At 44.1% G+C, this 27,073-nt stretch overlaps 2 pseudogenes; both read right to left on the bottom strand.

Moving 5' to 3' along the window:
* The window catches only part of PARP4P2 (poly(ADP-ribose) polymerase family member 4 pseudogene 2), a 59,018-nt pseudogene that overhangs the window by 17,997 nt on the left and 13,948 nt on the right, over window positions 1-27,073 (bottom strand).
* Window positions 6,844-7,893, bottom strand: CCNQP3 (CCNQ pseudogene 3; annotated as a pseudogene).

The following is a 27,073-nucleotide window of genomic DNA, read 5'->3' as shown; positions in this document are numbered from 1 at the left end:
GACACAAGTAGACAGACACAAAGAAGAAAATAAAAGCCATACAGAATGTCTTATCTGATCTCTGGCATATATCCCTCCAGACCTTTTCTGTGAACAAAGTACTTACGTGTGTGGCAGAGTGTAGAGGCGTATCTCTTATTTTGTTAATTTAATTTTTATTGTGGGAAAAATGTATATAACAATGTTTGCTATTTTAGTCATTTTAGAGGTTAGTGGCATGAAGCACACTCACACTGTTGTGCAACCATGACCATCTCCAGTTTCAGAGCTTCTTCTGGGTGTGCGTTTTTGAAACACATATAAGATAAGTATACATTTTCCAGGGCCCATTTTAACACTGAGTCTCTCTTGTTTCAAGGACAAATAGTCGATTCTTAATTGTATATCAGAATTTTTTTCCCAAAACAATGAACTTCCTACTCCTCCTGACTCCCCAAACTCTTTGTTTGTGTTTGCTTAAAGTATTATTTTTCTTTCATGGGCAATCCATGCCAATGGTTCAAAATTCAAAATATACAAAAGGGTGCACTGTAAGAAAGTAAGGCCGGGGGCGGTGGCTCACGCCTGAAATCCCAGCACTTTGGAAGGCCAAGGCGGGTGGATCACTTGAGGTCAGGAGTTCGAGACTAGCCTGGCCAACATGGTGAAACCCTGTCTCTACTAAAAATACAAAAATTAGCTGGGTGTGGTGGTGCACAACTGTAATCTCAGCTACTCAGGAGACTGAGGCATGAGAATCACTTGAACCCAGGAGGTGGAAGGGGCAGTGAGCTGACATCGTGCCACTGCACTCCAGCCTGGGTGACAGAGCGAGACTCCATCTCAAAAAAAAAAAAAAAAAATTAAGATTAAAAAAAAAAGAAGAAAAAGCAAGTATCCCTCCAAACCCAAGGCCACTTGTCAGCTTTCTGCCCCGTCTGTTGGGCAACAGTGTCTGTTTCAGACACCTTTGCAAATTAATAACTACAGCTAATATTTATCAAATATCCACGAGCTAGACATGTTATAATGGTCTCAAAACTCTTCACAACCACCTGAGGTGGATTTTACCACTCTCCCCACTTGGGCATTAGGACTGGGGCACTGGGAAGGTCAAGTCCCAGAGAGTGAAGCGCGGGCTGGGGTTCAGACCTGAGCAGTCGGCCACAGCACCTGTGATCTTAACCACTATATTTATTGACTTTCAATCATCTACCTTTTGTGATCTTTGCCAACCTGACAGAGTTAAAAAATAAAAAGGAATCTCATGGCAGTTTTTATATTTTAACTTCTTTTAGCAACAAGGTTGCACATCTTTCATATATTATTTTCTTATTTATGATCAAATCCTTGCTCTGTCAACCAGGCTGGAGGGTAGGGGTGCCATTTTGGCTCACTGCAACCTCTGCCTCCTGGGTGCAAGCATCCTCCTGCCACAGACTCTTGAGTAGCTGGGACTACAGGCAAGCGCCACCACGCCCAGCTAAGTTTTGTATTTTTTTTGGAGAGATGGGGTTTCACCATTTTGCCCAGGCTGGTCTTGAACTTCTGGGCTCAAGCCATCTGCTGCCTTGGCCTCTCAAAGTGCTGGGATTACAAGCATGAGCCACTGCGCCCAGACTAAAAAACTTTTTGTAGAGATGAGGTCTCACTTTGTTGCCCAGGCTGGTCTCAAACTCCTGGGTTGAGGTGATTTTTCCCACCTCAGCTTCCCAAAGTGTTGGGATTACAGGCATGAACCATGGTGCCCAATTAGATTTTAGATTCTTAAATTTTGGAAATTTTAGTTTTTTTAACCTAGAGACCTAAGAGTGTTATCAGCACTGTTAACAAAACAGTTTCTTTGCTTTTGAATTTGTCTTCCAATTTTTATTTAAGCCACATTTTTTCATTTCTATTATGTTTCTGGTTATAAGGGCCACAGTATAAAGCACTATAAACTTTAAGAAATATTGGTGGTGAATTTAGATTATTAGATAGCACTTCTATTGATAATTTCATGACAAACTTATTATCCTACCTAAATGACTTTAGCTTCCTGGATGACAATCTATTTGCCCATGATAGAAGCACAGCCACAGGTGTTCTCTTTTTGTACTATACAGCTCCATTCATACAATGTGAAGTCTCTGTAATGCAACATGATGTAATTCAACATTTTATAAATGCATGAATATTTTCCATCATCAGGGATACAACAACTTCTTCATGTACAGGTAAGAAGGGAGCTATTTTAGCAAAGGGTTCCCTTCATCTTCATGAACAAACGAAAGCACGATATCAACTTATTTGGTAATCAGCATTTACCTGGTTCCTGACGGCTTCTTGGGGCTCCCCCTGCCAGCTCATGTAGGGCAGGAAGTCTACATCTTCTTTGGCAATAAGTTCAGAAACTTTTGGAATATCAGGGAAAGGCGATTCATTCTCATCCTATATTGAATCACAAATAGATTAAATCAAATAGACGTTATCCAATTAAATGATGATTACACATTCTAAAGCCTATGGGGTGTTGGTTTGGGATACGCTGGTGTGTGGGACTGGAGCTTGTGCCATGGGCCACAAGCGTGAGGGAAAGTGGGGAGGTGGAGTGACTTTCCTCTTTACGGAGCACTGGCAGGTGCTGGCCACTGTGCTGGGCACGTTATGTGAATTTTCCCCTTAAACTTATGTAGGGGAAAGGGGCTCTCAGGGAACCCAGGCCTTTTCTATTTTTTGAGGGTCTTGGATTAAAAAAAGACAATAAATGCCAAAACTGTAACAAAATTATAGGGTATCCAAAAAATACACATTAGCTAATTATTAATAATTATAACATTAAAAATGATAACATACTCAACTCATTTAGAAAGATCACCCTAAGTCCCAACACCGAAGCCCCCCATGAATGGGAGGTTGGGACTTGTGGGGCCTACTGGCCTGTCTGCAACCCACGCTTCCCAGGCCCAGGGTGTGGGTGTTGTCATTAACCACCAAAGCAAGGGTGACTTTCTTAATGTGGAAATATAAATAAAATAATTTAACCTAAAATTAACAATAATATATACCCTTTTCTCAACTGCCACAAAGCTTGTAAATTGTATTATGAGAGAGTTTTCTTTACTGAGTTTAATAATCAGAGATTTCAAGGTTTGTTTCTTCATCTAGGATAGAATAAAACATAAGTCATGTCCTGTTTTGTTTATTTCTATTTAGCTATGTCAGTAAATCATTTTAAGATTCGTATTTCAGACTAAATATTGAATTGTAGGTCCCATCTAAATTGGTGGCTCAATATTCCCTTTAAAATGAGATCAACTGATTTAGCCATAGAAAATGTCACTCTTCATTATTCAGCTCCCTGTAGTTCACAGAGAGCTCCCCCGGGCAGTGGGCTTTCTCATTCTTTCACAGTCTGTGGCTCCCAATTTAAAGCTGAGGAATTGGAAAGATGGAATGTCTTGTTCAGGATAAAAGGGTCTTAAACAAAACAGCACACAGAAGCTGCCAACCCAGCGGCATCTGAGGAGAATAGGGAGACCACCAGGTGACCATCTGTCACTAGAACTGACTGTGGGGGTCTCCAGGGCCTGCTGTCACCTTCTTGTGGGATGGCATTGAGGACTAACACTCACAGCCTTGTTGAAGATCTCATCCCTCAGAGAACAGCTGGGCAGTCCAGTCCCGGTGGCCTGGCTGAGGGGCCCCTCTGCTGAGGCCCTGGTCTGCACAGCATGGGGGGAGTCAGGTGGGCTTTGGCAGGTCACTCAGCATTTCGCACTCAGGACTCTCATCAGTAAGATGGGAATACTAATGCTACCACACGAGAGATCTGAGGTGACGTCCACTACAGGCACTCAGCGAGTGTTCTCTGAGCCCTCCTTGGGCTTTTTCTGATAAGTAAAACATTACAGAATTTTCCAGAAACCACTGACATCCACTCTTTTGTTAATTCATTCAACAAACATTTACCACACACCCCACATCCCAGGCACAGTGTCACAGATACAGTGATGAATGCCCTGACACCACAGTCTCTTTCTCCACGCAGCTGACCTCACTTTCTATTTCCACAGATAAATCAATGTAAGAATGCTCAAGAAGAATATCTAATAGTTTTTACAATGAAAAGAACAAACCTCATGACTGGTTTCATTTTCGTGAAGAATGCCATCTTCGTAATCTCCGATTAGAGCTCGGATTGCCAGCTTGTGGATCATCTGTGTTTAAGTAGCAAAGGAAAAAAAAAGATTCACTTGGCTTCTAATACAAGACTTGCAAAGAACATCATTTTAAAAACGGAGGTATAACCTGCATACAGTAAAATGCACTCCTCTTAAATATACAGTTTGATGAGTCTTAAGGGATGTATACAGTTGTGTGACCACTGTTGAAGTGAAGACACAGAACATTCTCTTTACCCTGAAAGGTTCCTGTGTGCCCCTGTGTAGCTTCCTCCAGCTCTGGCAGCTCATCTGTTTTCTGTCCCTAGAGTTTTGCTTTTTCTATAAAAGGCCATTTTGTCAATTCATTTTATTTAAAAAATTGAAAACTTCTTTTCTACCATAGGAAGAGCCACCTTGGCCCTGGGATGCCCGTCCGTGAACATGGTCTGCACTCTGAAGGGTGAAGACTGCACAATGTGCACCACCAGGTGCTTCCTCTCCAACAACTGAGTGATGGAACTCTCCTTCATTCCAACTCTTGTAATTTTGTCATTGATAAGGCTGCTTCTCACAGAGGAAGTACAACTTGCTGTGACTCTATGGAAAATGACCTCTTCCCAGGTAAAATTATTTTACCTTCTTTCCCCCTTAGAGCTAACTTTTAAAAATAGTTAGATTTTATTTTATTTTATTCTCTTTTAATTTATTCTCCCTTATCAGTACCCACAAAGATCTAATTTTTAAAGCAATATTGAGCTTAAGTTCTATACATAAGTCACTGGCAACTAATAAGTCAATGATACCGATTTAGTGCTGAAAAGTAAGCTATACATTTTTGAGAAAAAACCCAGCAATGTCTGGGAAATGATTTATCTGGTTATACTAATACTCCTTTGAATAAAAAAAACTACATAAATAGCATGTATAGGCTAAACTATAGTGGATTCAGTACCAGTCCAAATGTTGCTTCTTGGTAATAATTTGTGATATTGTGATATGTAAAAAGGTAAAATAGGCCACCCCAAAAGATACTTCTTCGGCATATTTTGAGATGCTATTCAGAGGGACAGCAGACATAGGAGTAGCTCTGAAAAGCAGTCCTTTTGCAGGGAATATTTGCATCTGCAGAGGAATCCTATGTCGGTGAAGGAAACAGCAGATGCAAACAGGCTTTCTCTGAGACCCCCTTATCTGCCTTATCCAGATTTAGGAAAGATGAACTCCCAGGAAGAGGAGGCTGAAGTCTGATACTTTAAAGGGATGATAGAGAAACTGTTACCAGAGGTGCCTCTATTCTCTCAGGGCTGCTGCCTGCCAGACTTCATCTGCATCACAAGAAAGCCTTTGCTCACCACGTGTTTCCTCCCCTCACCCTCCCACAACCTGTCCCCACCTCCCCCAGGAGCCCCACAATCCCACCCGCCTCTGTACGGTATGAAACTTCAGTCATCTGGCCCTTCTTTGAGTCTCATGTGGCTCATGCACACGTAACGACATCTGCATGTCTCTTCCCCTGTTAATCTATCGTTGGATTATTTTATAGACCAAACATGGAAACTTCAGAGGGAAAGTCTGAACTTCCCTACAGACATAAGAAATGTATGTATTTGTTATTCCTAACAGGACGCTTCAACCACACCTGAGTTTATGTTAATGAGGTGACTTTTAGAAAGTCCCTAGAATGAGGGCTGGTTGCTGGGGAACCAACCATATGATTAGAGGGCTGGAACTTCAACCCCACTCCCCAACCTCCAGAGAGGGGAGAGTTAATCACCAATGGCCAATGATTTAATCAACCAGGCCTTTGTAATGAAACCTGCATTAAAAACCCCACCTAAGGGGGTTCAGGGAGCTTCTGGGTCAGCATTCATGTGCCAGGAGGATGGTGCATCCCAACTGTATGTTAGACAGAAGCTCCTGTGCTTGGGACTATTCTGGGCCTTACCCTATATACCTCTTCATCTGGCTGTTCATTCGTATCCTTTATAATATTCTTTGCAATAAATCAGTAATACTAAGGCAAACTTTTCCTGAGTTCTGTGAGCTGTTACAGGAAATTACTGAACCTGAGAAAGGGTTGTGGGAACACTGACTTGGAGCTGACCAGAAGTATGGGTAACCTGGGGACCCGCTACTTGCTACCGGTGTCTGGAGTGGGGAACAGTCTTGTGGGACTGAGCCCTCATCCTGTGAGGTCTGTGCCAAACCCAGGCAGCTAGTGTCAGAACTGAATTAAATTGTAGGACATGCAACTGGTGTCAGAGAATTGGTTGGGAAAAACACATATCTGGAAACCAGAAATGCTGTGAGTATGGGGGAGACAGGAATTTTTTTCTTTCATAATTCATTTGCTTTTAATCAAAACATGGAAAAAACCCACATCCTCAATATACGATATGATCTACTCTTAGTCCAGTACTTTTATAACTAATATTTCTAAGTAGCATCAGTAGACCAGTGGCATGTAACTTTTTTTTTGACTAGCATCACCTTTTATTACACAAAATAGATTTCAGCCACGTTGCACATTCATTCTCGCTATAAATCTGGCTTTAAAAAAATCCCTAGGGATTCAGTCTCATCGATTTCATGATTTTCCTTTCATTGATGTCATGCCTATATTGTAGTCAGAGTCCTCTCAAAGGACAAAAGCAGATGTGGCTGCCTTGGATCAGCTGCACGCAGTGCACTCCCGGCCTGCCCGCTGGAGGCGCGGCTCCCACCATCATCTGGACCGCGACTGCTAGGGACTGTCAAAGCGGCAGCATGCTATCGCCTTCTCCAGCCCTTCTCCAGCAGCACAACCAGTCCTCCCAGCTGGTCCTCTGAGGACCAGCCATCGTGGCGACGTGGTGGCAATGTCCCCAGGCAGCCGACCATCCTGGGCTTCTCTTTGGGCAGACCTGGGCCAGGGCCTTAGGGGATCTCTGTGTCCGTGGTATAAATCTGAATGAGATCAGATACAATATTATCAATGATTGGTAAGGTCGTCACCAAACACCTGCCACCACGGCTTCTCAGCCTCGACCTCAGCGGGCACCTCAACTCCGCAGACCTGCAGGGCCAGGTAGAGCACCGCCACGGTGATGTGCTGGTCCTGGAAGCGGAGGCACAGACCCCCGTGGTAGCTGTCCCGCAGCAGGGCCCAGGCAGTGACGGCAACGGGGATCCGCTGCCAGCTGTGGCGGTTCAGCCACTTCTTGAGGGAAAGCAGGTAGTGGAGCAGGTACTTGTGTGGATGCTGGAAGGAGACCTGGAAGCGCAGAACTCTCAGCATGAGAAGCTGACACTGCACAATGCTGTCCCGGAGCTCCCAGAAGCGGGAGTCCAATTCCAGGGGCTCACCGCTTGGGTTAAAGTACCTGTTGGACACATTGATGATGTCACGAGTCTGCAGGTGCTGCTCTTCCACTTTGCCGGCCAAGTAAATGGAAGACATGGCAATCAGGTAAGGGTCACAGGCGTCCAGGCTGGTCTCGCAGAAGAACTTATGGTAAATGGTGCAAGCAGTGGCAATGGGAATGGACCGCATCCCTAGCTTGACACTTGCCTGCATGATGAACCTCGCCACTCGGAAGTGCACCCTGGCTTCGGGCGCCGGCTGCCCCTCCGGGCCCCGCGCTGCGGGCCCCGCTCCGCCGCCCTCCCGGGCTTCCATGAGGCTCCGGGGCTTCCAGGAGACCCCGCTGCCCCTGCGGAAGGAGAGGCGGCCCCAGCGCGCAGAGGCCAGCAGAGCCCGGGGGGAGGCGGGGGTGCTCGCGGTTGGCGCCCCGCCCTCGTCCCGTCCCGCAGGGCCCGCACCCCAATGGCATGTAACTTTTATTGAGTCATGAACATCTTTGAGAACCTCTCTAGACAAATTTGCAAGCATAAATGCCATATTTAATTGCAGATATTGCCTCCCACTGATGCCCATATAGACACACCTAGACCCAACTACCTCAGATGAAGAAGTGCTGCGTTAGAAACCGAAGGAAAGTATACTCATTGGTACAGATGGCCCATCTCCACATCGTGTAATGAAATTTCAACACAGGAAAGCAACAAAGGAAGTACAGACAGCAGAGGATCCAATCTTTTGGCTTCCCTGGGCCACAATGGAAGAAGAATTGTCTTGTGCGACACATAAAATACACTAACTAATGATAGCTGATGAGCTGAAAAAAAACTTGCAAAAAATTTTCGTAATGTTTTAAGAAAGTTTACGAATTTGTGTTGGGCCGCATTCAAAGCTGCCCTGGGCTGTGGGTTGGACAAGCTTGACATGGAGCATTATATATGGAAATATAAAATCATAACTTTCAAACAATGGGTCGATAGTTTAGGTTTTGAATCTTAAAGTTGCAGTTGTCTTCTGAAGCTCAATAGTCGACACTATTGTACAAAAATTCTTTCTCTTAAATTAGTGCACACAAACTTGCCTGAAATGGGAAAAAAAAATAAATTCCTCATTAGCCTTTCCACTCTGCAGTGTCTTGGTTTAACAGAAATTCTTTTGGTGATTTACTCTCCCCTTTCAATAAAAACTAGAAGCCTCCCCAAAGCCCTGGCTAACCACCAGCTGTGTTCCCAGAAGAAGAAAATCTGCTGGTGAGAAGGGGAGGGAAGAAGACAGAAAAAAAATTAGCAAAATATATTGGTCTTCCCATAGAATAACAAACTCTGTGCCTTCTTACCTGTGTGCAGTGAGGAATGAATCCATAGACAAGGAGTCGATCATTGCAAAACAAGGACGGCACCTGGGCTGGGGCCTGCAGGGCCTCGGGTGCATCTGGATTGAGTTGCCGCCATTTGACGGAGACAGAGTGGCAACTCGGAGAACATTGCCTGCTCATTTGGTCTTCTGTCTATTTATAAAAGAGGAATTATTTCTCTTTCAATGCTCCATCCAGAAAATAGTTACTTCACATTTAAAATAAAGTATACGTTCTATCCTTCGGGAATTTTATAACTCTATGGTATTTTCTCTCCCTCCTGCTACAGGGTACTTTCCCGAAAAGATTTTAAACAGAATTTTATTTTATTTTACTTTATTTATTTATTCTATTTTGAGATGGAGTCTTGCTCTGTCACCTAGGCTGTAGTGCACTGGCGCAATCTTGGCTCACTGCAACCTCCCCCGACTCCCAGGTTCAAGTGATTTTCCTGCCTCAGCCTCCCAAGTAGCTGGGACTAAAGGCATGTGCCACCACACCTGGCTAATTTTTGTATTTCTAGTAGAGATGGGGTTTCACCATGTTGCCCAGGCTGGTCTTGAACTCCTGACCTCAGGTGATCCACCCGCCTCAGCCTCCCAAAGTGCTGGGGTTATAGGCATGAGCCACCACGCCCAGCTAGAATTTTAAATAATAGCATGATCATACCCTTTACATTTACAAAGCATCCTGAAATTATGCCTTTAGCTAATTATTAATATGCAGCCTTGGTATGAGTAGATTCCAGTACTTGATATTTCTCCAAAGAAGATACACAAAAGCCAGCAAGTGCATGCAAAGATGCTTGATGTCATTAGCCATTAGGGAAGTGCAAATCAGAACCACAGTGAGATCCCATTTCACACCCAGTGGGATGGCTGTTATTAAAAAACAAGTGGTGGCTGGGCAGAGTGGCTCATGCCTGTAATCCCAGCAGTTTGGGAGGCCAAGGCAGGCAGATTGCTTGAGCTTGGGATTCCAGACCAGCCTGGGTCCATGGTGAAATGCTGTCTCTACAAAAAATTAGCTGGGTGTGGTGGTGTGGGCCTGTAGTCCCACCTACTTGGAGGGCTGAGGCAGGAGGATGGCTTGAGACCCGGATGTCAGGGCTGCAGTGAGCCAAGATTGCGCTACTCCATTCCAGCCTGGGTGACAAAGTGATACGCTGTCTCAAAAAACACCAACAGCAAACAAAAACCAAACAGACAAATAAAAAACAATAGGAAAAAAAGTGGTGGCATATACCTGTAGTTCCAGCTACTCTGGAGGCTGAGGTGGGAGGATTGCTTGGGCTCAGGAAGTCGAGGCTGTGGTGAGCTATGATTGCACCACTGCACTCCAGCCTAGATGACCGAGCGACACTGTGTCTCAAAAACCAAAACAAACCAAAGAAAAGCTGATTGATTTCAATCAATATGGAAAAAACCGGAATGATGAGTGTTGGTGAGGATGTGGAAAAACTGGAATCCTGGTGCACTGGTGCTGGGAATGTAAAATGATGCAGCTGCTATGGAAGACAGCATGGCAATTCCCAAAAAAACTAAACATAGAATGAGCATATGATCCAGCAATCCCACGCTGCGCATACATCCAGAATTGAAAGCAGACTCAAACAGACGCTTGTATACCAATGCTCATAGCAGCATTATTCACAATAGCCAAAGGACAGAAACAACCCAAGTGTCCACCGATAGATGAATGGATAAGCAAAATGTGGTCCATTCATGCAATGGAATATTATTCAGCTTTAAAAAGAAGGGAAATTCTGACACATGCTTCAACATAGATGGACATTAAAAACATTATGCTAAGTGAAATAAGCCAGACATAAAGGGACAATGTCCTATGACTCCACTTATATGAGATACTCAGAACAGGCAAAGTCATAGAGACGGAACGTAGAATCGTGGTAGCAGGCGCTGGGTGTAGGAGGGAATGTGGAGTTACTGTTTAATGGATACATAGTCTCTGGGCTGATGAAATAGTTTGAAGATGGTGATGGTTGCACAGAATTGTGAATGTAGCTAACAGCACTAAATTGTACACTTAAAAAAGGTTAAAATGGTAAATTTTATAATAAAGAAAATTAATTTCAGCAAAACATATTTAATAATTCACTTTTAAAAAATCAGTCCATGATTTTTAAGGCAGAAATCAAACTATGAGCTGGGAGAATGACCAGATGATGAACTCCTGTGTTCCCGCTGGTGCAGTCCTGAGGCAGGGCTCACACCTGCGGCAGCTCTTGCCTCTTTACGGCTCCCCTCTCACTCAAGGAAACACAGGTATTCCTATTTCTTAGCCTTGGAAGAATGTGAGATTTCCACATGTAAACATAAAACCAGATGTTTAAAAAACATATCTGTTTTCTCCATCTATGCTTGGATTTTGCATTAAAATATTCAAATACTCCGGCACCACACTGGGACAAAATCCTTAGGATGTGACGATTTGCTGTAGAACTGATTGCATTTCACATGTTTTAATTTTGAAGACATTGGAGAAATATTTTTGCAGTACCTGTTAACAGTGTTGAGAAAGCTCACAACTCAACATGAGAGACATGACATGGGGAAGAATGTACTCATGTGTAGCTGAGGTTAAACAGAGAAAGTGATAATGGGAGGAAACATCTGAAAGTTTGGCTAATTTAAGCTCCCATCCATCAGAGGACTAACTTATCCTTCAAATAGAAAAAAGTTGAAATTCTTGACTTTCAATTCCTGAGGGAGGGAGTAGATGACTCTAAAAACAACCCTATAAGGTATCAGAATGCTGACAAAGATATCAACTTAATTTCCATAAATAACAATATTACCTGAATCTGATCCCAAAGGCCTAGAGCTGGCAAAGAGTGAATAAAGTCTACCTCTTAAAATCTGATACACATCAACATAGCAAAAGGCATAAAGAAGCAACTCTCACTCTAGCAAAGAGCATCTCTGACATTTAAATGACAAGTGCCCTATTACTTTTCTCTCTACAATAATTCTACAACTATCAAGAACTCCTTGCTTAGAGGAGTTCCTCCTGAAATATTAAAGAAAACATCAATTATTTTTCAGAAAAAGAGCTTATGAAAACAATTTCCAAGATGTTTTTCAACCTATGGATAAAGACTGGATTTGTCTTTACCCTCCATATTAATTGGTGATGATCATAACATTGACTAGAAGATCCCTAACATGGGTTATTGGTAGTTACAGCTTCCGTCCGTTAGCGAGGCAGGCTGGAGTCTTCCTGTGCTCCTTCAGGGAGGCTCTCAGAGGACCAGGACTCACGCCAAGGAGGAGGCCTGATGGTCTCTACCCCTGGGAAGCTCACTTTACTAGAGTTTATAATTGCAAACACATGCTTGGAAGATGAGGGAGAAACAGAAAGATCCCAAAAACTTGACAGAAAAGCAGAACGGATCCCAGCCCCTCCAGGCATGGGCGGTGCTAACTGGCACAGTCTCTTCTTGGAGCAGGCTCCCCCGCTGCACACCCAAACTCTCCATCACATGCCTTCCTTTTTTCAAAATTTTGTTTATTTTTAAAGATGGGGTCTTGCTCAGTCACTCAGGCTGGAGTGCAGTGGCCTGACCATGGCTCACTACAACCTCCTGGGCTGAAGAAGTGATCCTCCTTCTTTGGCCTCCCAAAGTGAATACCATATATTATGATATGAGAACATTATAGTCACAAGATGTCAAATACATTCTGAGAGACCTGAAGTCTTGGGTTAGCAATAGTTCTGATCAGACTTTACCCATAGGTAATATCTTTTGTGAAGACTGTTTTCTTGTGGACCATATTCCTAGGGAAATACGTAGGTATTTAGGAGGAAACATTTACCAACTCACATAGGAGGATAACCCGATAATGAACCCCAGGCTTCTATACATACAGTTTGGCCATACATAGAGTTAGCATTGTTAACTGTTCAATAATCACCTCTTCATTGCCTATTCCCATCCTGCAAGTGGATATCTTAGATGTCAAGAGCAATAATTTAACCCTTCGATCTATATTAATCTTGAATGTGCCCCTAGCCCCAGCAAACATTAAATTTTCAAAACACCATGGCCATTTGTCTCCCTCAGAGGTGATACTCAAACATATGGCCCCATCTGCAAAAACAACTAAAATATCTGTACTAGAGTTAGACGCTGACTACACGCAATCTAGCACCTGCCAGAGGCCTCGTGAAAACACCTGACATTTAAGGAAAGTAGTCCAGTGGACCTGCCAGCTGTTCCCTCTTCCACGCTGTGCAGGTCACATCCCTGCTAAAGCTAATCACCTAAAAGCACAGGAGCTGGGCCCGCACAAGACCTGGCAGAAATGCCTCCCTTCTTTATGTTTGGACCATCTGCTAGGTAAGCTTACTTCCAGGGAAATTGTAAATATATCACACTCTTCTTTTTTTTTTTTTTTTTTTGAGACGGAGTTTCGCTCTTGTCACCCAGGCTGGAGTGCAATGGCGCAATTTTGGCTCACTGCAACCTGTGCCCCCCGAGTTCAAGAGATTCTTCTGCTGCAGCCTCTCCAGTAGCTGGGATTATAGGTGCCTGCCACCACGCCCAGCTAATTTTTGTACTTTTAGTAAAGATGGGGTTTCACCATGTTGGCCAGGCTGGTCTCGAATTCCTGACCTCAGGTGATCCGCCCGTCTCAGCCTCCCAAAGTGCTGAGATTACAGGTGTGAGCCATTGTGCACGGCCAATATATCAGACTCTTATCAGAAGATGAAAGTTACATATCTCAAATGTTATCTTTTTGTCTGTCATTCCTTCTGGGAAACTCAGTTCCCAATGACAGGCCTAGCTCTTCCTGTTTGTCTGGAACTATTGATGCCGTTTCCTCTTTTGTTTAGATAAGTCAAATGGGTCTGACTGGCATGGCTTCCCCTTACTTAGAGCAAGTGGAACTCTAGGCCTACAACAGTGTAAATTATCTCAGCCTCTAGCATGAAATTCGTATTTCATATCTTGTTCTAACTCTCTTTCCCTCTCCTGTATGCACGCGGCATGCACACCAAGCGGTACCGGAGCATCCTGACTCATCAGGTAAGCACCATGGCCCTGGGTCACGGCTCCTCGGTACTCTCGCTGGGCTTCTTCCTTCTCTTTAATCTGGAAAAGATGATTTTTAAATCATTCCTTACATGAAGAGTGACTTCAGGCTTTAATGAAGAAAACAACATCAATGTTTATTAAAACCCAGGCAAAACCTAAAAACTGAGTCTAAGATGAATGGAAACTTAAATAAAGTGATCATCGAAATGTACTTATCTGATAAGAATTTGAACCAGGAAAGGCCAACTAAAGAGAAGTCTCTTTCAGTTGGGATCAAAATATTTCAGAATCAATAGAGAAAAAAAATTTTTTTTGGTTGGGAGTTTATGTTGAACAAAAAATAATAATTACTTTAAATTTAGTAAATTGTAGTTTATAATTGTAACTGTGGTCTAATCCTTACAATATACAAAGAATTAATAAACTGTTGTTTCTTTTCTTTCTTTTTTCTTTTTTTTTAGAAAGTTACAATAGTTTTCATTTCAGCTTGACTTTTATAGCAGGATGCCGGGGATCAGGTTTTACAAAAATATATAAGGGCTTCACCAATTTTCCAATGTGCCTCTCTTAAACTTTTCTTTTTATTTTTTTTCTGAGATGGAGTGTCACTCTGTTGCCCAGGCTGGAGTGCAGTGGTGCGATCTTGGCTCACTGCAACCTCCGCCTCCCAGGTTCAAGAGATTCTCCTGCCTCAGCCTCCCAAGTAGCTGGGATTACAGGCGTGCACAACCACACCTGGCTAATTTTTGTATTTTTAGTAGAGATAGGGTTTTGCTATGTTGGCCAGGCTGGTCTCGAACTCCTGACATCGAGTGATCTGCCTGCCTCAGCCTCCCGAAGTGCTGGGATTATAGGCATGAGCCACCACACCCGGCCCTTTTAAACTTTTCATACTGAAATCACTCTTACAGTGCCAAGGGAAAGAATGTGCAAGACACTGATCATGAAGACTGGATAGATAGGGATAGAAACCCTTCATCAGGGAGGGATATTTGAGGAAGGCTCACTGTGCAAGAACTGGTTCTTCAAAGAATATTCTCGTTTTATGATAAGGCTGCTACTCAACCTTATAGCCATGGGGACTCCGAAAACAAAGGTTCTGGGAAATGGAAGCTGACTTTGAAAGCCGAGAGCGGGCACGATGCATCTTCTCGCCTTACCTCTCCAACTATGTGCTTCCCACTGATGAAGGCTTCGAAGCCACACACAGCGGCCTTGTCATCCAAAGGAAAGATATATTTTGCCTCAATGGGCACATGACTTTTATTTGTGTATGTCTGAAATACAATGACCTGAAGAAGAGAAAAAATCCATACAATTGATGAGACCACATGGATTACATTTGCAGGAACAAGGACGAACGAAAATGATTTTGCATATTTATTTGAATTTCCTTGAATTTGTATCATGCCCCTCAAATTCCCAACCCTGGCTTCACTTTTGCAATGGAGAGCTAGTGTCATGTGATAAAATGCCCCAGTCCCACGGTTAGGTGGTTCATTCATGTCCAACTGGAATAGAAGCCACCTGAAGTCTTACCAACACTGACTTAGCAGAGGCAATATAGCTGTTGTTAAGACGGCTGGAAAATCGCCCCTTTCATGTTGTGGGCTTTGATGCCTCCTTCGTGCCATGTTGGCTGGAAATGATTCCAGAATAGTCCTTCTATCCTATCGGCTCTCAGGACTTGGCCTTTCCTCCTGGGGACCTCTCTGTGGCTTTTCCCCTCTCTCTACCCAGCCCTCATCTAGCTCCTCATCTCTGTGTGCGTTGGTTCTTCCAGAATCAAGTCTTCTCCACTACTCTCTGTTGTCTCTATTATCTAATTAATCTTTCCAACAGACTGTTTTCATCACTCCCTCACTCAGGAAAAGGCGGGAGGCTTTAAATGTTTGAAAATTAAGAAAAAACCCCCCAGACATATAATAAACAGTAAGATTCTAACATGTGACAATAATAAGGCAAAAATATTTAATGATCTGTAATCAATAATCCGGGGAAGAGACCAAAATGAAAAATTAAAAAAAAAAATCTAACTTATTTGAAAACATTGTCTACACCTGGATTTGCTGCAAGCTTGGCTGCCCCTAGGGTGTGTAGGGTGCCAGGGAAAATTTTTCATGGAGTCCTTGTTAATATAAGCAATTTGAGTCTCCCCAAATCAGCAGGTCAGCACCGTCCTGGAGACAGAATCTCTTGGCATCCTGCAAATGAATACCTCGCTAGCCAGTGGGTAGGATTCCTGGAATCCCGGTCTGGCCAGCCACCCAAGATGAGGCAAAGGTGCGTCCTGGAGTTTCTCAGCAATCTGGGCTACGCTGCCTGCAATGAATGGTTAGAGTGTGCCTGGCTGGGAGACACCAGGACTGGGGCCCACCTAGTACTGACTGGGAGGACGTCAGACACTGTCCCCTTGACTGTGCACGGAACTCCTTCTCATCCTCTCTTGGATTTCCTCAGTTTTACGAAACCCTTAAAGGCATGTATGCTTGCCCTGAGTTTGATGATCAGGACCACTATCTAATTGTACTTGGTATAGACTAATGTTTCTTCCTACTCAGTAGCCTTCCTGCCTGTTCTATTTAGCAGGCCTGCCTTTGCACAGGAGTCCCCAGGAGGCCAGACATCAGGCCTGTGTCAGCTGCACTCTCTTTGCATATCACACTGTGTGGCTGGGCACTCACAAAGGTCAATAATTTTAGACTATAATAAAAGTATTTTTACCAGGCCTTAGAACAGAAACTAATATAATGTAACAAATTTTGACATCTTAATTTTCTTCCATTAGATAAAACCATGAAGTAACTAAGCTTAACATCATTAATCTCTTCCAAGAAGGGTCAAAATGTATCAGCCATGCACATATAAGAATCTACACCCCAGCCTCTGCTTGGATACTCAAGCTCGGTCTACAGTCCGGCTGTTTCATCATAAAATGAGTGAGAAATTCACTGCTAAATCGAAAGTTATTTTGGGGCAAACTTCCCCAGGGAACAGGCCTCTTTGGGTTTGAAATATCAAACGGTACAAGTCGTCTAATACCAAGTAAGGCATGGAGGACACACGCCTCTCCCTGTAACCTCGTCATAATTTGTTTTGCACGTAAGGACAATCCCTAAGTTCTTTATATTTATTAGATCGAATAGCCACAACACTGATGGGCAGATATTATTATTTCCATTTTACACATGAGGAAAACGAGGCAAAGGAGTTAAGTAACTTTCCCAAACTCACAGCACTAGAAAGAATAAGCAAGAATTCAAAGCTAAGCCTTACAAACTCCGGATCCTTTGCTTTGTATGATCTACCATGCTGCACTATGGTGTACTGGTTAAGAACCTGGACGCTGGAATCAGAATGATCTGAGTCTGAGAGAATTAAGTACTGCATGTGGAAAACTCGGCTGAGGGCCTGACTCTTAGGAAATGGTAACCATTATGTTTACAGATCCTAAGTGGTGCCAAAGGGATTGGCGGAAATGGAACATGTCCCATGAGCCCACAGCTGGGTCTTTCAAAGTGTATGCTGTTGCTCTGAGCTGCCTTGAAGATGTGCGTATGGGTCAGAGTGGGCCCAGGGGTGGAGGTCAGCTATATCCAAACTGCTCTTCTCACCCAACACCGCATATCCCCAGATTAAGGTGATCACTGAAATGGAGCTAATTTCCCTCTACAGGGATCAGAACATCATGGCACTGTACTTGAACATTCTTAATCTCCTAAAAGGCCTTTATGGTTGTTCAATGCAATCTTCAGAGTCAGAAGCTGATCATGAGGCCAAATCTTAGCAAACCAATTCAATTTTAGAAAACCAAAAACTTAACTTTCCAAGCTCTTACCACTGCATCTGGCCACTTGGCACCCCTGAAAAGCTGCCTTCCATCCTGTGACTGTGGATGATGAACCTGCTGCGAGCTCCTGGCTGCAGCCCCAGCACCCGCATTAGATAACCCTCCTGTGATGCTTGTCTTTCGCTTTGACCAGTTCTTACTCACTTGGTATTTAATGCTCTTTCTGAGCTTCAGTGCAGATAATTTAATAAGGTGGGGTTTTCTCCTTCTCTTTCAACACCCTGAGTTTTTTTTTTTTTTTTTTTTTTTGAGACAGGGTCTCGCTCTATCACCCAGGTTGGAGTGCAGTGGTGCGGTCTTGGCTCATTGCAACCTCTGCCTCCTCCAACCTGCCCTCCTGTGACTTTGCCCATTCTAGTAATGGCAAGCCATCCTCCCATCTCAACCTCCCAAGTAGATGGGACTACAGGTGCACGCCACTGCGCTCAGCCAATTTTTGTAGAGATGGGGTTTCTCCATGTTCCCCAGGCTGGTCTGGAACTCCTGAGCTCAAGCAATCCTCCTGCCTTCGCCTCCCCTCCAAAGTCCTGGGATTACAGGCATGAACCACCGTACCCAGCCACCACCCTGGTATTTATGATAGCAAAATGTGTATATTTTAGAAGCTAACAAAGATTTGGGAGAACAGTAGAATTCATCTCTCTCTGGGAAGAAAGTGCTTTGAGCACTGCCTGGCACAACATAAGGGCAATATACATGTTTGTTACATAGAAATGTTAAATAAATAAGGGCATAAGAAAGTTCTAAATTGAGTCTTTTTGATAAAAGTAAAATTCAGAACAGTTTACCCGGAAAGTCTTTTCAACAATATTTCCTATTTATGCAATAAAACATAGAGAAGGGTGTAGAGAAGGAAGTAGCTCCAGCAATTCCCCTCTCCCAGGTCGCCAGGTTTCCCTCCTGCGCTGACTCCCACATATGCTGTTGTTTCTTGCACCTTAAAAGGAGAAAGAAAACACAACCCCACTTCTCTTCAGCTGCTGTCTCATCCTCTCCTCTGTCTCCCCATTCTTCCTCCCATTCTCTCTTGAACTCACTCTGATCAGCCTTTCACCCCCACAACACCATCAAAAGGCAAAGGTCACCAACAATCTCATTGCTAAATCCAATGGTTAGGGCTGGTCATTATTCATGAGACCACCAGCAGCCTTTCCTGCCCTCCCTGTTCAGCTGTCCTCGTGTGTTTCTACAGCCGCTCCCTCTTGGTCTCCGTGGCTGACTCAGCCTCCTCCCCTACATCCCCATGTTGGCTTCTGTGCTCTATTGATTCTCTGGGTGTTTAATCTGGGCTCATGACTTTAAACACTATCTGAATGCTGCTGACTCCCCACTTATAAGTCCGGCTTGGGTCTCCTCCCTGGCCCTATGTAGCCACAAGACCTACGTGGCCAAAGATAAACTCCTGATGGCCCCCAACCTGCCCTCCTGTGACTTTGCCCATTCTAGTAAATGCAAACATGATCCTTCTAGTTATTCAGGGCAAACATCCTGCTGTCATCCTGTCCCGTCCCCACCAGCAAATCTGATTGGCTCTGCCCTCAGGCCTTGGCAGACTCCATCACTTCCTATACCCCCACTGCAAACCTTCTTCTCCACATCACCAGGTCCCTTAACTGAATTGTCAATCGTCTCCTCTATGTGATGTGACGTTGGGCCCGCTGTGTCACCTTCAGTACTGAGACTGCTAGGAGTGTCACCTGTGGGGCGCCTCCCCAGGAACCGTCCTCAGCCAAAGACAAACTGCCTTAGCCAAGGTTCTGACCCCTCCCCGGAGCAGCCCACATCCCAGGACTGGCCCCAGTGGGGCTACAAAGCCCGGCCCCCTTGCCTTGATTCAGACCTTCTCTCAAGGACCACTCTGGCCCAGAGCTTCCCCCAAGATCATCTGAGGACTCTGTTGTCTCCTCGGCCACGTCCTGCCTCCCTCACTCCCTCACAGGTGCGGCTCCCGCAGGCACAGTCCCACAGGCTTCCTGAAAACAAATTCCATCCAGAGTCTGCTTTCCAGGGAACTTGACCTAACATTTCTCCCACTGGGCCTCTTCCTACTGTTCCCAACATGGTGGCCAGAGTGAGCCGGTTAAAACAGGTCTGTTCATGTCATTCCTCTGCCAAACATCTAGAAGCTTCCATTTCACTCAGAGTCAAGGACAGCATGACCTGTGTGCTGATGTGAGAGCCCCTCACCTCTCTGACTCAGTCCCCACGCACTCTCCCCTTTCCACCCCACTGCAGCCACAGTGCATCTCCTTGGCGCGCCTGGGCCAGATCAGCCTCCTTTCTACCTCTGAGCCTTGGCATGTGATGTTCCCGCTGCCCGGAATAAGCATCCCCCGATGTCCACACAGTTTAGCCCCCATTTCCTTCAGGTCTGTATGCAGATGTCACCTTCTCAGGGAGGCCTCCGTGGCCATTCTGTTTACAGGTTCAAAGCCCCCGTCTTTCACAGCTTCTATCCCCTCCTGCTTTCATTTTTCTCTTTAGCACCTGTCACCATCTAACATGTTATGTGTTTCACTCTTTCATCATGTTTATTGCCTATTCCCCCACACAGTGTGTGCTCCACAAGGGCAGAGCTTTTGTGTTGTGCACTGCTGGATGCCCAGAGCCTAGCTAGTCCCTGGCATGGAGTGCTCAGCGAATATCTCTTGAATAAATACATTTTAGAAATCTATCTATTCCCTTCAGTTCAGGCAACTGCAATCAAATTCTCATGTATGGTTTACATCCATGTAGTTTAAGTGTCATAAAGCCACAGACAACATACCTGGGCTACAGTGTCTATGATTCTCCTTGATGTGGACATCCTCCAGAGGAACCAAGTTCCCAGAGGCATCCTGGAGGCTGGCCTTGGTGCTGCTGGAAGTTTTGGCATCTGGTAACTGGTAATCTAAATGTTAAAAATGTTACCATTAGCTTTCAAAACCATCCCTGTCTATTTTTGTTATCTTGATCTTTATTCCTTCTCCATGCCTTCATGCATTTTATTTTAGGGAAAATGGATAAACAGCATTTTATGATTTTCAATAGCCAATTTTGAAAAGCAAGTGAACCCACATGAGAAAAATGGGAGATGCCTTTTTTTTTGAGACAGCATCTCACTCTGTTACCCAGGTGGGAGTGCAGTGGCACAATCTCTGCTCATGGTAGACTCATCCTCTCTTGCTCGGGTGATCCTCCCATCTCAGCCTCCTGAGTAGCTGGGACTACAGGCATGCACCACCATGCCTAGCTAATTTTTTGGTATTTTTTTGTAGAGATGAGGTTTAGCCATGTTGCCCAGGCTGGTCTTGAACTCCTGGACTCAAAGGATCCACCTGCCTTGACTTCCCAAAGTGCTGGGACTATGGGTGTGAGCCACCATGCCTGGCCTGCCTTTTTTTTTTTTTAAAGACCCTTCTGCTTAAATTTTTGTTCTTCTTTTCTTCTTTTTGGTAGAGATGGGAGTCTCACTATGTTGCCCAGGCTGGTTTTGAACTCCTGTGCTCAAGTAATCCTCCTGCCTCAGCCTCTTGAGTAGCTGGGACTACAGGCATGTGCTCTTCTGCTTTTTTAATGTACAGACTGTGGGGTGTCCTCTTGAAAACATAGCATTACTTGACATATATTTAAATATACACACAAATACACAGAAGTCTTCAGACTGTCTCAAGGGTGGCTGAAGCCTGAATCCAGGTGTCTGCATTCCCTGGCTTGTAGTGTGGAAGGGCTCGGTCACTATTATTTATGGTGCCACCCAAGCATTTTGGGATGGCATCAAACAACGTAGATTTTCAATCCAAGGCTCCTATGGCAGCATACTGAAAAATGTTCACATCCTATTGTAAGTGGTACAAACATACAGAATACAGATAAGGTTAGGAAATATAAATACATATCATCTTGCCAGATATTTCACTTAATGACACCCAGAGAAAAAATTGGAGTCACCTCTGAACACACATGACCTCATGCATTTCTGACAAAAAATAATTTGAGCACGGTCAAAAATGTTAATGTGTTCTTACAGTCCTACTAATTAATACTGTAATTGTTTGGGCTCATGATACTCTGAGAAGTGAATATACTCTTGTATGCTCGCATTACTATGGCTAACACACGCACCACACATGGCAATTTACTCAGTGCCTTCAATTTCTCTCATTCCCATCGGAGAGAAGGTGGAGCGCAAAAGGTATGCAGTTTCAAGACTGCAGGGTGGCAGGGCAACACTCAAACCCTGGGCTTCCTGGCTCTACAGCGGCTCTGCTGTCGGTTCTCTCCATCCCATTACACTTTCTGCACCATGACATCTTAGCAAGGTTCCACAGGTTTTTAGCCTTGGCTATTCCTGAAGGGAATAAGCTCAACTTCAGTGTGTTAATGAAGTCACATGGAATTTTGAGATCGCTTAACCTTTCTCAAGCATCCTGGTTTTTATGTATGCAAGATAAAAAAGGAAATGAGGCTGGCCATGGTGGCTCACATCCGTAATCCCAGCACTTTGGGATACCAAGGCAGGAGGATCGCTTGAGGCCAGGAATTTCAGACCAGCCTGGGCAACATAGTGAGATCTCGTCTCTTAAAAAAAAAAAACAAATTAAAAAATGTTGGCAGGGCACCGTGGCTCATGCCTGTAATCTCAGCACTTTGGGAGGCTGAGGCGGGCGGTTCATGAGGTCAGGAGATTGAGACCATCCTGGCTAACACAGTGAAATCCCGTCTCTACTAAAAATACAAAAAATTAGCCAGGTGCGGTGGCGGGTGCCTGTAGTCCCAGCTACTTGGGAGGCTAAGGCAGGAGAATGGCGTGAACCCTGGAGGCGGAGCTTGCAGTGAGCCGAGATGGCGCCACTGTAGTCCAGCCTGGGCGACAGAGCGAGACTCCGTTTCAAAAAAAAAAAAAAAAAGGTCACGGATGGTAGTCCTAGCTACTTGGGAGGTTGAGTCAGGAGGATCATTTGAACCCAGGAGTTTGAGGCTGCAGTGCACTTTGATCACACATTGTACTGCAGCCTGGGGGACAGAGTGAGACCCTGCCTCAAAAAAAAAAAATATATATATATATATATATATATTTTAAAATTAAGTGCTCTATTTTGATATTAGGCAGAGGGGTTTGACTGATGTTAACATTGAGAGAAATTTGTGGGAAACAATTCTGAGATTGAAAAGAAATGAAATACTTATGAATGAGGTCATAGATAAAATAAATGCAAATATACACTCCATTGAAAATATAACATTTGAGGTCTATAAATATAATAACATAAAACCGCATTCAAGAAAATTGTCCTACCTTCATCCTTTGAAAAATTTGAAAACTCAGGTCTGTATTCCTCTAATTCAGTAGGATCACTAGGATGAAAGTCCTTTATTTGATCTCCAGGCATGGGAAATTTAATAATATATTTCATTTTAACCTGATTGGTTTTATAGACAACAAATTCATCATTCTAGAGCAAATAGAAATCAGTAGGTGATTAACAACAATAGCAACAAAAAACCTGTATGGGCAGATGTTTTCATAAAATCATGTTTGCTAATTTAGAAAATGTTGAATTCATGCAGTAAATATTTAACAATTATTTAAACTTAAGTATATTTAATGAAAATAGGAGCAAAAAACTGAGGCTCTTCTTTGAGCATTCAAGACCCTCTTTGCTTGTTCCTTGATATAAAAATACCTCTAAGTCTGTGGTGACAGAGGCTGTTTGTGAAACTCCATGCACACTGTCGTAGCCTGGTGGTGCTTCAGTCAAGGAAAAGTTCTTCTCGTGTAAGTCCATACACTTTCTGAGGGCTACGTCACAAATGAGCAGGAGTCTGGTGCCATCTGTCTCTCCCAGGTGTGAGTACTTGATACTTGTAATACATGCAAAAGGAAATAAACACATATTTATAGCTTAGAGTGACTTGTCAATAACATACTATTGAAAAGACTTTCCTGGTAAACTGTTCTAAATTTTCCTATTATTGAAATATCTCCAAAGACTCAATTTAGAACTTTATTATGCACTTATTTATTTAATATTTCTTCTTCTTTTTTTAAGACAGAATCTTGCTCTGTTACCCAGGCTAGAGTGCAGTGGCACGATCATAGCTCATTGCAGTCTCGAACTCCTGGGCTTAAGTGATCCTCCTGCCTCAGCCTCCTGAGTAGCTGGGACTACAGGTGTGCACCACACCTAGCTAACTTTTAAAGTTTTTTGCAAAGATGGGGTCTCACTATGTTTCCCAGGCTGGTCTCAAACTCCCGGGCTCAAGTGATCCTCCCTCCTCAGCCTCCCAAAGTGCTAGGATTACAGGCATGAGCAACCATGCCTGGCCTATTTCGCATTTCTACGTGACAAATATGTATATTGCCCTTATGTTGTGCTAGGCAGTGCTCAAAACACTTTGTTTCCAGACGGAAATGAATTCTACTGTTCTCCTAAATCTTTTTTAGCTACTAAAATATACACACTTTGCTGTCATAAATACCGGGGTGGTAAGTAGAAGGAAAAATCACCGCCTTATTAATTAGGAAAAAGTAGATTTAATTCTCTGCACTAAAGCTCGGAAAGGAGTAAGAACTGTGGGTACCAAGTGAGTAAGAACCGGTCAAAGGGAAAGACAAGCTCTCACAAAGCCTTCTGAGTGGAAAAACAAACATTTCAAATGATATCCAAATGAGAAATGTTGTTTTATCTTTCTTGGGGAATCAGCAGCTTTAATAAGGCAACTCTTGCTATTAGGAGCACAGGCTAGGACACACCTTTGGGGACAACATTTTATTTTTTTATTATACTTTAAGTTCTAGGGTACATGTGCACAACGTGCAGGTTTGTTACATAGGTGGGAATTGAACAATGAGAACACTTGGACACGGGACAACATTTTAGAGACGCATCTCTATTTTTTTTTTTTTTTTTTTTTAGAAACAGAGTCTCCCTCTGTCGCCCAGGCTGGAGTGCTGTGGCGGATTTCGGCTTACTGCAAGCTCCGCCTCCCGGGTTCACGCCATTCTCCTGCCTCAGCCTCCCCAGCAGCTGGGACTGCAGGCGCCCGCCACCACGCCCGGCTAATTTTTTTGTATTTTTAGTAGAGACGCGGTTTCACGGTGTTAGCCAGGATGGTCTCTTATCTCCTGACCTCGTGATCGGCCTGCCTCGGCCTCCCAAAGTGCTGGGATTACAAGCGTGAGCCACCGCGCCCGGCCTATTTTTTTTCTTTTCTTTTTTTTTTTTTTTTGAGAGGGAGTCTCGCTCTTTCCCCCAGGCCAGACTGCAGTGGCGCTATCTCCGCTCACTGCAAGCCCCACCTCCCGGGTTCACACCATTCTTCTGCCTCAGCCTCCGGAGTAGCTGGGACTACAGGCGCCCGCCACCACGCCCGGCTAATTTTTTGTATTTTTAGTAGAGACCGGGTTTCACTGTGTTAGCCAGGATGGTCTCGATCGCCTGACCTCGTGATCTGCCCGTCTCGGCCTCCCAAAGTTCTGGGATTACAGGCGTAAACCACCGCACCCGGCCTTATTTTTTAAAGATTAAGTTCAAAATGCAGAAGTATGGCCAGACGACCCTTCTTTGTTTCCCCCACTAAAAAAAAAAAAAAATCAGTCCCCCCATTCCTTCTATAAACCTCTCCCCTTTGGAAGGCTCTTTTCCTGCAACTTACAAGCATGCTTCCTTCCTTTTCATTAAGCCCCACCCTGGACTTCTCCCTGGAGCTCTCTCTGTTGCTTCCTATCTCACCACGTTCTGGCAGAGGGGGCCAGTGACCGTCTCTTCTGGCTCATTTACTCCTTAATCCACTGCTATTTGGCTCAATTCACATCTAAAAATTTTTACTTTGATATATTGTGCATAGGAAAAAACATTTATGATATACATATTTACAGAATAATAAGATAAATATCCACATAGCTACCACTTAGCTTAAGAGCTAGAACATCCCTAAAACTTCTATGCTGCCCCACAGCTCACCTTCTCTCCCACCCAGAGGTAATTTGATCACTGTCTTGATTTTTGTGTGTGTTATTTTCTCTTTTTTCCCATGTGGAATTTATTCCATAAGGAGCCACAGAGGAGACCCTGGGTAGGTGGGAGAGGTTTTACTGTGTCCCCCTTTTTATAACAGTTTTCTCTTTTGTGTGTGTGTGTGTGTGTGTTTGAGACAGGGTCTTGCACTCTTTCATCCAAGCTGGAGTGCAGTGGTGCAATCATAGCTCTCTGCAGCCTCAACCTCCTGGCTTCAAGCAATCCTCCCACCTCAGTCTCCTGAGGCTGGGACTACAGGTGTGCACCACTGTGCCTGGCTAATTTTTAAAAACAATTTTGTAGCGGCTGGGAGCAGTGGCTCATGCCTGTAATCCCAGCACTTTGGGAGGCCGAGACGGGTGGATCACGAGGTCAGGAGATCGAGACCATCCTGGTTAACACGGTGAAACCCTGTCTCTACTAAAAATACAAAAAAATTAGCCGGGCGTGGTGGCAGGCACCTGTAGTCCCAGCTACTAGGGAGGCTGAGGCAGGAGAATGGCGTGAACCCCGCAGGAGGAGATTGCAGTAAGCCGAGATCGTGCCACTGCACTCCAGCCCGGGCGACAGAGTGAGACTCTGTCTCGAAAAAAAAACATTTTTGTAGCTATGGGGTCTCACTATGTTGCCCAGGCTGGTCTTGAACTCTTGGCCTCAAGCAATTTCATCCACCTTGGTCTTCCAAAGGGTTAGGATTACTGGCTTGAGCCACTGTGCCTGGCCTATTTTCTTTCATAGTATTAATGCACAGATATATGTCCCTCAACAATGTAATGTATACTTTTGCTTGTTTTTGAGCCTTGCACATACAGGTATACCTCGTTTTATTGCACTTTGCAGATATTGCTTTTTTTTTTTTTTTTACAGATTGAAGGTTTGTGGCAACTCTGTGTTGAGCAGGTCTACTGGTGCCATTTTTTTTTTTAACAGCATGTGCTTCCTTTGTGTCTCTGTGTCTCATTTTGGTAATTCTCACAATGTTTCAAACCTTTTCATTTTTATTATAGCTGTAATGGCAGTGTGCGATCAATGATCTGTGATGTTACTGTTGCAATTGTTTTGGGTGCAATGAACTGTGCCCATATAAGGTGGTGGGCTTGGTAGATGTTATGTGTGTTCTGACTACTCCACTGACCAGTGGTTCCCTCATCTCCCTCCTTCTTCTCTGGCCTCCCTATTTCCTGAGATACAGCAATACTGAAATTAGGCCAGTTAATAACCCTACAGTGGCCTCTAAGTGTTCAAGTGAAAGAAAGAGTTGTACATCTTTCACTTTAAATCAAAAGCTAGAAATGATTAAGCTTGGTGAGGAAGGCATGTTGAAAACCAAGGCAGGCTGAAAGCTA

The sequence above is a fragment of the Homo sapiens genome, chromosome 13, assembly GCF_000001405.40.
Source record: "Homo sapiens chromosome 13, GRCh38.p14 Primary Assembly".
Taxonomy (NCBI): domain Eukaryota; kingdom Metazoa; phylum Chordata; class Mammalia; order Primates; family Hominidae; genus Homo; species Homo sapiens.
Note: the sequence above shows the minus strand (reverse complement) of the source record. Positions and strands in the feature narration are given on the sequence as shown.